General features: G+C 49.5%; 1 protein-coding gene and 1 pseudogene across 3 annotated transcripts in view, besides 2 other annotated features; one reads left to right on the forward strand and one right to left on the reverse strand.

The window, feature by feature from the left end:
- Nucleotides 1-12,286, reverse strand: part of FBXW4 (F-box and WD repeat domain containing 4) — an 84,630-nt gene that overhangs the window by 3,593 nt on the left and 68,751 nt on the right. For all 3 annotated transcript variants that reach the window (NR_136613.2, NM_001323541.2, NM_022039.4), the window contains one exon: nucleotides 10,487-10,552. Coding sequence is in view for 2 of the 3 variants with exons in the window: in NM_001323541.2 (NP_001310470.1) it covers nucleotides 10,487-10,552 (66 nt within the window). In the remaining variant the exon portion in view is untranslated. The remainder of the gene's footprint in view (nucleotides 1-10,486; nucleotides 10,553-12,286) is intronic.
- Nucleotides 4,224-5,136: an enhancer, noted in NCBI's record as "H3K4me1 hESC enhancer chr10:103378239-103379151 (GRCh37/hg19 assembly coordinates)". NCBI's record gives its function as "activates a minimal SCP1, AML or CMV promoter by ChIP-STARR-seq in naive H9 embryonic stem cells {active_cell/tissue: H9 hESC(naive)}" and the evidence as "EXISTENCE:reporter gene assay evidence [ECO:0000049][PMID:30033119]".
- Nucleotides 5,182-5,683: an enhancer, noted in NCBI's record as "H3K4me1 hESC enhancer chr10:103379197-103379698 (GRCh37/hg19 assembly coordinates)". NCBI's record gives its function as "activates a minimal SCP1, AML or CMV promoter by ChIP-STARR-seq in naive H9 embryonic stem cells {active_cell/tissue: H9 hESC(naive)}" and the evidence as "EXISTENCE:reporter gene assay evidence [ECO:0000049][PMID:30033119]".
- Nucleotides 8,601-8,707, forward strand: RNU6-1165P (RNA, U6 small nuclear 1165, pseudogene; annotated as a pseudogene).

Below are 12,286 nucleotides of genomic sequence, written 5' to 3' on the forward strand. Positions count from 1 at the left end.
TTTGTTTGAAATAGAAGATGAAAGGCAGTGGGGGTTGGGAGGACTGAAGCCCAGCATGGCTCTACCTGCCCACCCTGGTCCCTGGGTTCAGAGGGAAGGAGAGCTGGGCACTCATGGGGCTGCACAGGGACAGCAGTATAAAAGGCCCACCCAGACTGGGCTGCCAAGCTGGGCCCCTACCCCAGCATTCATGCCACCACTGGAAAATGTCATGGCCGTAAGTATCTGCAGTCAGAAATACAGGACAGCCCAAGGGGTCCCTGCCCTCGGGGGGAGAGCCAAGGGCCCAGTGAGCACCAGGCCCTGGAGGCCAGCACAAGTCCTGAGAGCCCCTGCTCTGCCCGCACAGCCTGGCAGGGGCTGAGAAGTTTCTTTCTGCTGTGCTGTTCTCTGGTTCTCTAAAATGGCCACACACACTTTAAATGGGCCAATGAAAAGATACAATTTCTTTTGCCCCTGGGCCCAGGACCCTCAAGGCTCTGTTGTGTGGTGCCCGTGAGGTTAAGTTCAGAGCATAAACTGACACGCCAGGCTCTGGGAAAAGGCCCATCTCTTCTAATAGCAACCCAGCAGTGCCACAGGAGCCCTGCTGGGGCTTTGATTTGGGAAAACAAACAGAAATGGCACCGTGGGCCCTTCTCGGCCCCCACCCCAAGACCTATTTAACTAGAAAACTCTAGCTCAACTGCTCTGGTAGAGGGAGAGATTGGCCCGACAATAGCCCCAAACTTTGGGGGAAAAGGGGACAAAACAAGCTGTCTGTCTCCTCATCCCCTCCTCCTGGGCTCTTTTCTTACTGCAAGTGTGTTCTTATAAAAACGATTAGATTGCAATTTGTATAACGTGGTGACCCCCCAAATTCAGACATTTCACCCCTTTTCTCTGGAAAGAATGTTAAGAATGCTTCTCGGCCTCTCACTGTGGGGGGCGAGAGGGGGGTGCAGAGCCTTGGCTGTTGCACAGCTTGTGTGGGAACAGGGCTGCTGCTCAGAGCCCCAGGCCAAGACGGGAGCAAGGGCCAGCCTGTCACTATAGAGGGCCAGACAAAAAGTCCATTCCCTTCCAACTCCCGTGGACAAAGCCCAGGCCTCCAGGATCCACTAAGGGCTGGGGGCCTCCACACCCTAGCCTCCGCCGAGTCAAGTCCAGCAATTCTCTCTCCACCCAGGGAAACATAAAGACAGATGGGGCCATCTGTGTGAGCCTGATGAATGAGACACAGGCTGAGGAGGGGCAACCTGGGGGAGACCTGTTTCCTTGGCTCTGACCGTGTGCAGGCTGCTCCTGGGAACCCCACTACCTGGACAAGAAGAAGCAAGCAGAGTGCGGCCACACCCCTGAGAGGTCAGGGCCCCCTGGCCCAAACCATCCTGCTGCCCAGGTGACTCTACTGCAGCTGGAGGGAGAGAACTTCCTGCCAGTCAGAGAGGAGGGACATTTACATGAAATGCTGACACCCATCACCATCTTTGTGGGGGCAGCTAACTGATGGTAGGGGCTGGCCCTAAAAACCTGGATAGCCCGCCAGGGACAGGCCCTGAGTGCTAAGCTGGACTGGGCACAGGGGGCAGTCCCTGGCACCCTACCCCTGCCCACCAAGTCTGCAGAGCTAGGAAGCCTGGTGCCCTGCTGCACTTCTCCCAGCCTCCCCAACAGCCGCCTGTACTAGAGCACTCCTGAGTCACCACCTCCTCCACCTCCCAACCCACAGCTCAGCATGTCCGTGGCTCCCACACCATTTTTCAGTCATTTTTAACATACTGAATTCCTGATGCTGTTCTCTGGAGACCCTATGCTCCAGAGACCTATGCTCTGGAGACCCAGATGCTCATTCCTGCATCTGTTTGAGTCTGTGCCTACCTGTGCACCTGTCTGCCATGTGCTACCTTGAAATGCAACAATGGCTTTTGGAGAGAGAGAGAGGAGGGAAGGGTGACAAAAGAGTTGACCACCTTCCATCTCTGCTGCCTAGGGGACAGATGGCTTGAAGGTATAAGCTGGGCCCAACATGGCTGCAAAGAGAATGGGAGGTTTTTCCTCCCTTCTATCTCCTTCCTTCAGTCGAGCATCTTCTGTATACAAAGCATTGTGCTTAATGGAAACTACAGGGAGATGTAAGCTGTGACTTGATCAAGAAGACTTTGTCCCTGCCTTCAAGGAGTATTCAATCCAGGGAGAGAAAGAAGTCTGCAACATATATCCAACTAACAAATCAAAATGTGAGTTGGTAGGTACCACAGAGAACAACGGAAAGTTCTACAAGGGGGCAGCTAAGAAAAGCAAGCATTTCTGGCTGGGGGTGTTGACTGATTCTTCACTGACAGACAGGGCTGTCATAGGCAATGACAAGATAGGGAGATGGCCCAGGTGGCAGGAGCAGCAACAACAAAGGTGCAGCACTAGGGCAACCAGGCTGTTTTGGCGGCAGCTGGCAATCTGGTTTGGTTGGAGGCTTGGGAGTGTGCTGGCAGGGTCTGGCCTCCAGGCCACAGTGGGCCTTAGGGTGCACATCCCTCACCTGGCACAAACTCCGTGAGTGGCAGACAGCCATGAGGCTTTTGAACAAACAGTGATTGTCCTAGTCCAGGCCCCGATTGTAGATAAGGAAACCAAGAGTCACAGACAAAAAGTGACAATGTCGTATAGCAAGGAAAGGCAGAGCCTGAATCCATGATAAAGGCAGAGCTCCTGGAAATCCCGTCTGGTAGCAGCTTTCAGGATGACGGGAACAGAGGGAAGTAAGCTGAAGGGCCTGTTGTTCTCTTTGTGTCTGCTGGAGCCAGATGAGACGGCTGCTTAGGTTACCTGGTGGCAGAGTAGCCACCGCAGCAACAGCTCACATATCCTGAGTCCATACTGTGTACCAGGCAACGTGCTGAGTGTTTTACTCGTATCAGCCCATTTAATCCTCACAACAGGCTTTGGAGGTAAGTTTCTTAACCCCATTTTACAGATGAGAAAATGAAGGCGCAGGGGTCACGCACCTAGTAAATCTTAGATCTATATGCTTCAGGGTGGTGGCACTCCCCACCTTCACAGACAATGCAGCCACTCCATCACTGGCCCCTCAACATCCTCAGGACTTGCCCCAAGAGTTACCCAGGGTCACCTCCAGCCCTTTCCAGCTCTTTGCAGGCTTTTCCACCTCACAGATGCCCAGAGGCTTGCCCTCTGGTGGAGGTAGTGAGAGAATCAAGGGGACAGATAGGTTCTAAACATTAACAATGGAGGAGCTATGGAAGCTTCACTTGCCTCAGCCCCATCAGGTGAGAAGGAAGGGCCTTCTCAAGCATACAGCCTCTCACATGCATGTGTCTGTGTGCACACACCCCCAGCACCCACCCACGCACATGTGTTCAGACACAATGGCTCAAAGGCCAGGCAGCCCACTTTGTACTGCTAACAAGGGGGCCATAATTACAGGAAGGGGCAGCCGCGTAGATAAAAGGATACAAAATTTCAACATCTGTTGCCATAAAGGGATAAGGAGAAGTGAAACGCAAAGTATCAGTTTGGTGTCAGCAGGCAGAGAGCCAATTTCAAAGAGTTCAGGGGGACAGAGGAGACAAGAAAGAAAAAGTTAAGGGGGGAGAAAGAAAGAAAGAAATTACAGGGTTCCTTAAAGAGGTAAAGAAAAAAGAGAATGAAAAAAAGCTATCAGTAATGCTTTCAAAGGAGAAGGGAGGTACTTTAAAGAGGGGCAGTTCCCGTAATCACCCTGACTGTGGGCCAGGCCCCTGCACAAGGTGGGGGCAGAGGGCCAGGGCAGACAAAGCCACACCTGGGCAGGATGGGCACTAACAGTGCTCTCAGAGTGGCCCAGCCTGTGTGCAGGACACGGCTTCCTTCTCCAGACAGAAGGGGCTCCAGCCAAATGTCCCTTACCATTTATTCCAAATGTCATTAGATGCCCTGATACTCACTCATATCCTGTGCTCAGTTCAGGATACCAAGGTCAGTTCCCAGCTCAGAGGGAGAGTTCTACCAGGCCACAGCCATGGCTGACCAGGTGGCCCTTATCAGTGTTCCAACACTGTGTTCAGTGGAAAGGGCCACCAACTCCAGCCACAGGGGTCAGGATCAAGGAGAGCTTCGTGGTGGAGGTGCTGTTTATATTGAAGAGCGAGCAGGGTTTCATTAGGCACAGAGGGGGTATTCTGGGCATGGGGTTGGCTTGAGCACAGGCTCAGAGGAGAAAAATCTAGGGCATCTGTTAGGATGGGTGAGAAGCCTATTCTGCCCCTGCCTTTGTTGAGAAAAGGGGAACTTGGGAGCTTTGAGGTGGAAGTGGAGGTGTAACATGGGACCAGGGATGACCCTGGCCCAAAGGGGAAGGGGAATCAATGGGATGTGTGCAGGGCTTGCCACACACACAGGGCAGCACAGGACCTGGCCAAGGACTCAATACCCTAGGAGCAGCCAGGTCACCAACCACCTCCCCACCCCTTTCCCCACCCCACAATCCCAGTGGGGCTTAGGGCTGTGACTGTGGCTGGACCTACTATGACACCTTCAGGTCTGGGATTAAAGGGCTCTCCATCCTGAAGCCCACCTGCCCACAGGCTATCAGGGGCCCAGCTGTGCCCTGTGCTCAGGGCACCAGTGCTAGGTCCATCTCAAATGCCCCTTGGCAGAAAAAAAAAACCCACAGCAAGAGGAAGCCCATGGAGGAAGGGGGTATTTGTGATGTCAGGCCAGTCAGACCCACTTGGGCCTTCCAGCTGCCAGGAGCTGGGCCCCAGACAGTCAACACAAGGCACCTTCCCTGGGGCCTAGCCAAGGAAGGGTCCTGCTCAAACATAGAGAACACAAGATGAGCCTTGATTCCTCCAAACTCCAGGCTCGGGCAGGATGGCTTTGGCATAGTTCCTCAGGGCCTGATGGGATCACAGGGCCTAGCTAGGGATACTTCAGTGGTTGGTCAATCAAGATGAAGATACCGGAATTCCTGGCACTTGGGAGTTAGGGAATGGGCTTGAAGACCACCTACCATCAGAAGCAGAAATATTCTGGCACTTTGAGGTTGGGTGAAGGACTCTTTCTCGTTTAGATAGTAATCCTCTGTCCTTGGGCCTAACCCCATGGTACCCAGTTCCAGAAGACAGAAAGGCAGAAAAAGTCCAGGCGCAGTGGCTCACACCTGTAATCCCAGCACTTTGGGAGGCCGAGGCAGGTGGATCACGAGGTCAGGAGATCGAGACCATCCTGGCTAAGACGGTGTAAACCCTGTCTCTACTAAAAATACAAAAAATTAGCCAGGCGCGGTGGCAGGCACCTGTAGTCCCAGCTACTCGGGAGGCTGAGGCAGGAGGATGGCGTGAACCCGGGAGGCGGAGTTTGCAGTGAGCCGAGATAGCACCACTGTACTCCACCCTGGGTAATAGAGCAAGACTCTGTCTCAAAAAAAAAAAAAAAGAAGAGGAAGGGGGAAGGGGACAGCCAAGCTCCTTGCCATTTAGGCAACGGCTGTGTGCCTGTGGCTGCCTTCTGACCTGTGTGCTCCAGCTAGCAACTGCCCCTCCATCCCTGTTCCAGCCCAGCCTGCAAGGAGAACAGTCTCTAGTGGTCTTGATGGAATGAGGGGCTGAGGGAACAATGGTGACCCTGAAAGGGGTCCAGGTTCTGTGAGAAGCAGCATTGGCTGTCTGAGGGTGAGTAGCTGAGAGACACACATAGACGTGGGTGATGGCTCCCCTGATGGGAGCGCTGGTGCCCAGTGGGTGGCTACAGCTTTGAATGTGTCCCAGCCCCCACCATCATCCAGGGTATAGCAATGCTTAGGGCAAACTGCCCCTCCAGTACTCCCCGCTCTCTGCCCAAGCCCCAGCACATACATAAAAGAGAAAATCCAGGCGCTCCTCAAGTTGCAGCAGTGACAGGTTAAAAGCAAAGAATCCATCCAGCACCGCTCACCGCCCAACCCCAAGTCCTGCCGGCAATGCTGCTCCACCTCTCGGATTGGCCTGTCAGTCAGGCTTTGGTGTTACTGAAAGATCAAACTTTGTCCTGCCTGTTCATTACCTTAATCCTATTTTCTACATGGCTTTATTATCTACTTGGGCTTCTCTGGGAAAGACAGCTCTAGAGAGTCATCCTGTCCATCCATTTCCTCCCACCAAAAGCAAATGCCTCCACCAGGGCATCTTTCCTCAATCGCTGTACCACTTGGTCCTCCAAGCTTCTCTGGGGACAGGACAGATGTTTAAACAAAGCCTGGTTCCTCCCAGTGGATGAACCTGGGGCTGGAGAGAAGGCACTGCCAAGTGGTGCCCAGGGCAACCCTGCCACAAGCAGCAGAGCCCACAGGCTGGCCAGAGCGGGCAGGGCTGTTTCTTCTCAGGCTCCAGGAAGAACTGAGGCCATAGTTGTTTGTTTTGTTCTGTTTTTAATTTTTTTTTGATAAGAAACAAGGTCTCACCATATTGCCCAGGCTACTCTCAAACTCCTGAGCTCAAGCGATCCTACTGCCTCAGTCTCTCAAAGTGCTCGGATTCCAGGCATGAGCCACCATGCCTGGCTAATCACTGTCTCATACCTATTCTCATTAGAGTCCATTCTGGTTTCAATAAAGACCCAGTGTTTGGGGTTAATGAGATCTAGGGGTTTCATAAGAGAATAACAGTCAAATAAATGGTGCCTTAGAACTCCATCCTGACCATAAATCTGTACCGAAGAGTACCCTTCACCAAGGCAACCATAGGCAGAAGAGGCCATTCAAAGATTACCCAACATTTGAGATGATGCTGGGTCACAGTGGTGTACCCAGCCCGCCACCCGGCTTGTGTGTCATCCTGGGCCCAGGCAGGTGATGATGCCAAACACAAGGCCCAGCTATGTAACCAAGTAAAAACTTTCATCAGAATGCCCATCTTTGTGACCCACAGCCCATTGTCAAGAGCCTTCCCTGTGCCAGGAGTTCAGCAGGTTCACCTCCGCCTCCACTAGTCACTAAGACACGGATATTTTAAGAATTAAAAGCCTCCACAAGCCAGGCACAATGGCTTACACCTATAATCCCACAACTTTGGGAGGCCAAGGTGGGAGGATCACTTGAGCCAACGAGTTCGAGACCAGCCTGGGCAACATAGCGAGACCTTGTCTCTACAAAAAAATTTAAAAGTTAGCCAAGCATGGTGGGGCATGTCTATAGTCCTAACTACTTGGGAGGCTGAGGCAGAAGGACCATTTGAGCCCAGGAGTTCAAGGCTGCGGTGAGCCGTGATGATGCCACTGCACTCCAGCCTGGGTGACAGAGCAAGTCCCTGTCTCTCAAGAAAAAAAGAAGCTTCCACAAACTCCGAGGTACTAGTTTGGGTGGGAAGGAAGAGCAGGAAAGAGACAGCTTGCATTAGTTGAATGCCTCCAAGGTGACAGGCACTGTATGGGAAACTCTTTCACGATAATTTTGTTCATACCAGTTCTGTTAGGTAGGGATAATTAATTTCCACTTTACAAATGAGGAAACTGAAGCTCAGAGGGCCCCAGATCACAGCAAGAGGCACAGATAAGTTATGGCTAACTTATCTACTATGTTAATGAGAAACAACTGAAGGACCTAGAACTTTTGGCCTGAAGAAGAGGAGGCCCTGGAAGAGCAGAACCAAGGTTTTCAGATATTTAAAAGTCTGTTCTTCAGGAGAGAGGTTCAACTTGCTTGTCTCTTGTCTAGGATCACAGCTTCAGGGAGCAAATCAATCCATGATAAAGGGTGGGCATTCTCACTCACAGAGCTACCAAAAGACGGAATGGTTGTTTGGGGAAGTAGGGAGTTTCCCATCCCTGTTCTTGGATGACTATCAAAAGAGAATGTTGAAGGAAAAAAACCATGATTCATTGATTAAAACATCTCATGTTGTTTTAAAAATTTTGAAAAGACTGACTATAGAATGGATTTTTCAAAAAAAAAAAAAAAAGCTATGGCTAATGCTTTCCTACAGAGATGGAGAAAAATGGAGAAGACAAAGCTACAGCAACTGAGGAAGCAGGTGAGAAGAGCATCTTCGCCAGTGCTGTCAAATGTGGCATTTAAGACACAGACCACATGTGGGGCCTAGGGCAAGGTGAAGAGTTCTTAGACTTGACACCAAAGGCACAGTCAATAAAAGAAAAAGTCAATAATTTAGATTCCATCAAAATTTTAAACATTTGCTCTTCAAAAGACCCTGTTAAGAGGATAAAAAGACAAGCAGCCGGGTGCGGTGGCTCACGCCTGTAATCCCAGCACTTTGGGAGGCCGAGGCAGGCTGATCACGAGGTCAGGAGATCGAGACCATCCTGGCTAACACAGTGAAATCCTGTCTCTACTAAAAGATACAAAAAATTAGCCAGGTGTGGTGGCAGGTACCTGTAGTCCCAGCTACTTGGGAGTCTGAGGCAGGAGAATGGCGTGAACTCAGGAGGCAGAGCTTGCAGTGAGCTGAGATCACGCCACTGCACTCCAGCCTGGGCGACATAGTGAGACTTCATCTCAAAAAAAAAAAAAAAAAAAAAAAGACAAGCTACAGATTGGGGGTAGATATTTGCAAATCACATATTTGACAAAGGACTAATATCTAGAATACAGAAAGAACTGTCAAAACTCAATGGTAAAAAAAAGCAAACTGCTTGCCTCGGCAGCACATATACCAAAATGGAAATGATACAGAGAAGACTGGCATGGCTCTTATGCAAGAATGACATGCAAATACATGAAGTGTTCCATTAAAAGAAAACAATCCAGCAGGCAAAAGACATGAACAGACGTTTCGCCAAAGAGAATATTCATATATGAAATATATGGCAAATAAACACATGACAATATATTAACATAATTAGCTATTAGGGAAATTCAAATTAAAACATGATGAAATATAACACCTTTAGAATAGTTTAAAAATAGTGAATCCAGGCATCATGGCTCATGCCTGTAATCCTAGCACTTTGGGAGGCCTAGGCAGACAGATCGCTTGAGCCCAGGACTAGCCTGGGCACGATGGCAAACCCATCTCCAAAAAACACACAAAAAATTAGCTGGGCATGGTGGCACACACCTGTAGTCCCAGCTACTAGGGAGGCTGAGATGGGAGGATTGCTTGAGGCCAGAAGTTCAAGACCAGCCTTGGCAATATAATGAGAACCTGTATCTCTAAAAAACATAAATAAATATAGATTTTAAAAAAGAAAAAAAAATAGTGAAATACCAAATGCTGGTGAGGATGTGAAGAAATTGGATCTCTCATACATTGGTGGTGGGAATGTAAAATGATAAAGATACTCCAAAAAATAGCTTGGCAGGTAAAAAAACTAAGCATACACTTACCAAACAACACAGCATTTGTACTCCTTGGCATTTATCCCAGAGAAATGAAAATGTATGCCCACACAAAAACCTGTACGTGTTGTAATAGCTTTAGTTGCAATAGTCAAAAAATTGAAAACAGCCCAAACATCCTTCAATGGGGAAAAGAAACTTTGGTATATCCATACCATGGAATACTACTCAGCAATAAAGAGGAATGCACTATTGATACATGCAGCAACATCTGTGGGTCTCAAGGGAATTATGCTGGGTTTTTAAAAAGCCAGTTTCAAAAAGTGACATATTGTATGATTCCATTTATGTAACATTTGCAAAATGACAAAATTATAGAGATGGAGAACACATAAGAAGTTGCCAGGAATCAGGGACAATGGGAAGAGGAGGAGGGGAGAAGGATGGGTGTGACTACCAAGGGGTAAATGAGGAATTTTTGTGCTGATGGAACAAACAGTTCTGTACCTCAATTGTGGTGATGGTTATCTGAATCTACACGTGATACAATTGCAAAGGACTAGACACACATAGACACAGACAGACACACACACACACACACACACACACACAGAGTGCAATCTGAATAAAGGTCCATGGATGGTACCAGGGTCTATTTCCTGGTTTGATTATTACATATTATGTAAGATGTTACACAAACACCTTTCCATCTTATTTTTGTAACTTCCTGTGAATCTATAATTATTTCAAAATTAGAAAGTTAAAAAAAAAAAAAAAACCAGAATGGCAGATAATCAGATGGGAATATGTCAAGCCTGCCAAGGCAGAGAATTGTGAATAAAACCTGCATGTATTTTCACTGTTCTGTATAATTCTTTTTATAGGTCCGTAGGCCACCTTCAAAATTTCTTTATTTTAGCAAAATCATCTCTGGGGATAGATGGGATTTTATATAGCCACATAGGCATTCCTCAGAGAAAGAGTATCATAAATCCAAATTGTTGTTGTTATCATAAATTCTACATGAAACTATTTACCTATTATAAATTACTTCAGCAGTCTCCTCCAGCTAACCCTGAATGATTCCATGTGAGAAGGCACCACAGCAGAGGCCTCCTACTAGACCACTTCCCAGCCTTCTCCTGGACCACTCAGCCAACTGAGGCAGAGGCTGGCTCAGCAAGCTTTCCCTCACCTCCTGGACTGGAAGCCAGCATGGGCTCATGAATCTCTTACCTGTTGAGGTCCCAGATTCTCAGGGGTGAGAAGTGCCCGCAACAAGCCGTCCCTGTCACAAAAGAGCTGCCAAACAAAAGGAGAACAAAGTCAGATCTGGCTTGTCAGAACCTGTGGTGGAAATGGCTAACAATGGGAAATGCCGTGCTCATTCCCTAGGGGATTGTGGGTTAAGCCAGAATGAGAGAAGTGGCCAAGGGAGCCATCAGAGGAGCTGTGGGAAGACATCTTGGAGCACTGTGAGGGGTGTAGCCCCCAGTGGTGCCTGGCCAGAAGACCCACGAGCTCAGCCACAGCTGGGCCTGCTGCACAGACTAGGTTGAGTGGTCTCTGCACACCATAAAAACAGATCTCTAGACGTGACAAGTTTGAGCCCAGGAGAGAGCGAGCCTGTCGGGCTCCTGTTTAGGAATCCCAAGAGCACAATGGCAGGGCACAGAAAAGGGCTCCAGGGAACAGGTTGCTGGGGCTGGAAGGTGCTGCCCGTGGTCAGAAGTAGGAGCAGCTGAGGGGCATTCCTGAAGGTTTTAAGAGCTGGGGGAATCTGGTAATGTGGTATAAGCACAGGGCAGGTATAAAGGCACCAAAATGAGAAAAGGAAAAAATATGAAAGATGAGTGAATCCCTTGGATGGGTATATGCTACTACATAGGTGGGGCGGAGTCCCCAGAAGCCAGGCAGCCAGGGCTTCTGGAGAGTGGGATGGGAGTCCGCCAGAGTCCTCTGAGGCCAATAACAAACAACGCCGAGAGGCACACGAGAAGGAGCAGGCTGACCCTGTTGCCCAGAGTGTCCCTTTAGAGCCCTAAAAACCTCAACATATACAATCTGCAGAGTCTCACTTTAAATGGAGGCACAAGCCTGGTATAAAGGATCCACGCAGTGGGCCAGGCTGGCTGTAGTGCTGGCCTAGAACTTGAACCTATGAGCCAGACAACTCTTGTTAGAGGATTTGGTAGGGTGGAGAGGGGAAGCCTTCAGGAAACCTGGGCTTGAAACTTAAACAGCAAGCAAGCAAGTTGAAAGCAGTGGTGTTAGGAATGGGCCATGTCCCTGCATGTCTTTCATGGGGGGGAAGGAAGACTGGACATACTAATAACACATTAGCAATGTGGGGGCAACAGCCCATCTGCTGTGGCCCAGCCCAGCACCTGTGGCTCCTCTGATCCCAAGCATGTCAGTGAGGAGATGGATTTCCACAGAGAGGGCCCTGGAGAAGCCAGTGGCTTTGGCTGGGGTGGGGAGGTTGGCCTGCCAGTTGCTGATGGGGGAGATGTTAGGGCAGGCACTGGCCAAACCACTGATTTACAATAAAAATTGCAGGGCAGGTGTCTGCTCTTCAGCCCTAGGCTGATAAAAAGGCCATACGAGCTATCCTGGGGCTTTCATGACTCAAGCCAAGACTTCCTCCAGGGACATGCCCCATCATCCTAGCTTCTTCAAGGCTGCCAGCAGCCACTAAACTATAGAGTGGGAGTGCCAAAACAGTCACTGTGCCATGCCCCAAGTGACTGCCAGCCTGGGAAGCAGCCAGTGGATACTGAAGAACCAAACTACAAAGTCAGGAGGTGTTGCCCTCTCCTCCCTCCCCAAACATTTTTCTATTTAGGGTAATCCATTAATAACTGGTAAAGCCAATTACCTTGGGCTGGAAACATAATAGCCACTTGGAAATCATTCGAGCAGGCAATTGGACTCTCCAGATTTGAGGAGTGGGGGCCAGGTGAAGGGCGCCAGCACAGACACAGGCATCTCTTTTTTTTTTGAGAGGAATCTCCCTCTGTCACCAGGCTGGAGTGC

Source organism: Homo sapiens, chromosome 10 (genome assembly GCF_000001405.40).
Source record: "Homo sapiens chromosome 10, GRCh38.p14 Primary Assembly".
NCBI lineage: Eukaryota > Metazoa > Chordata > Mammalia > Primates > Hominidae > Homo > Homo sapiens.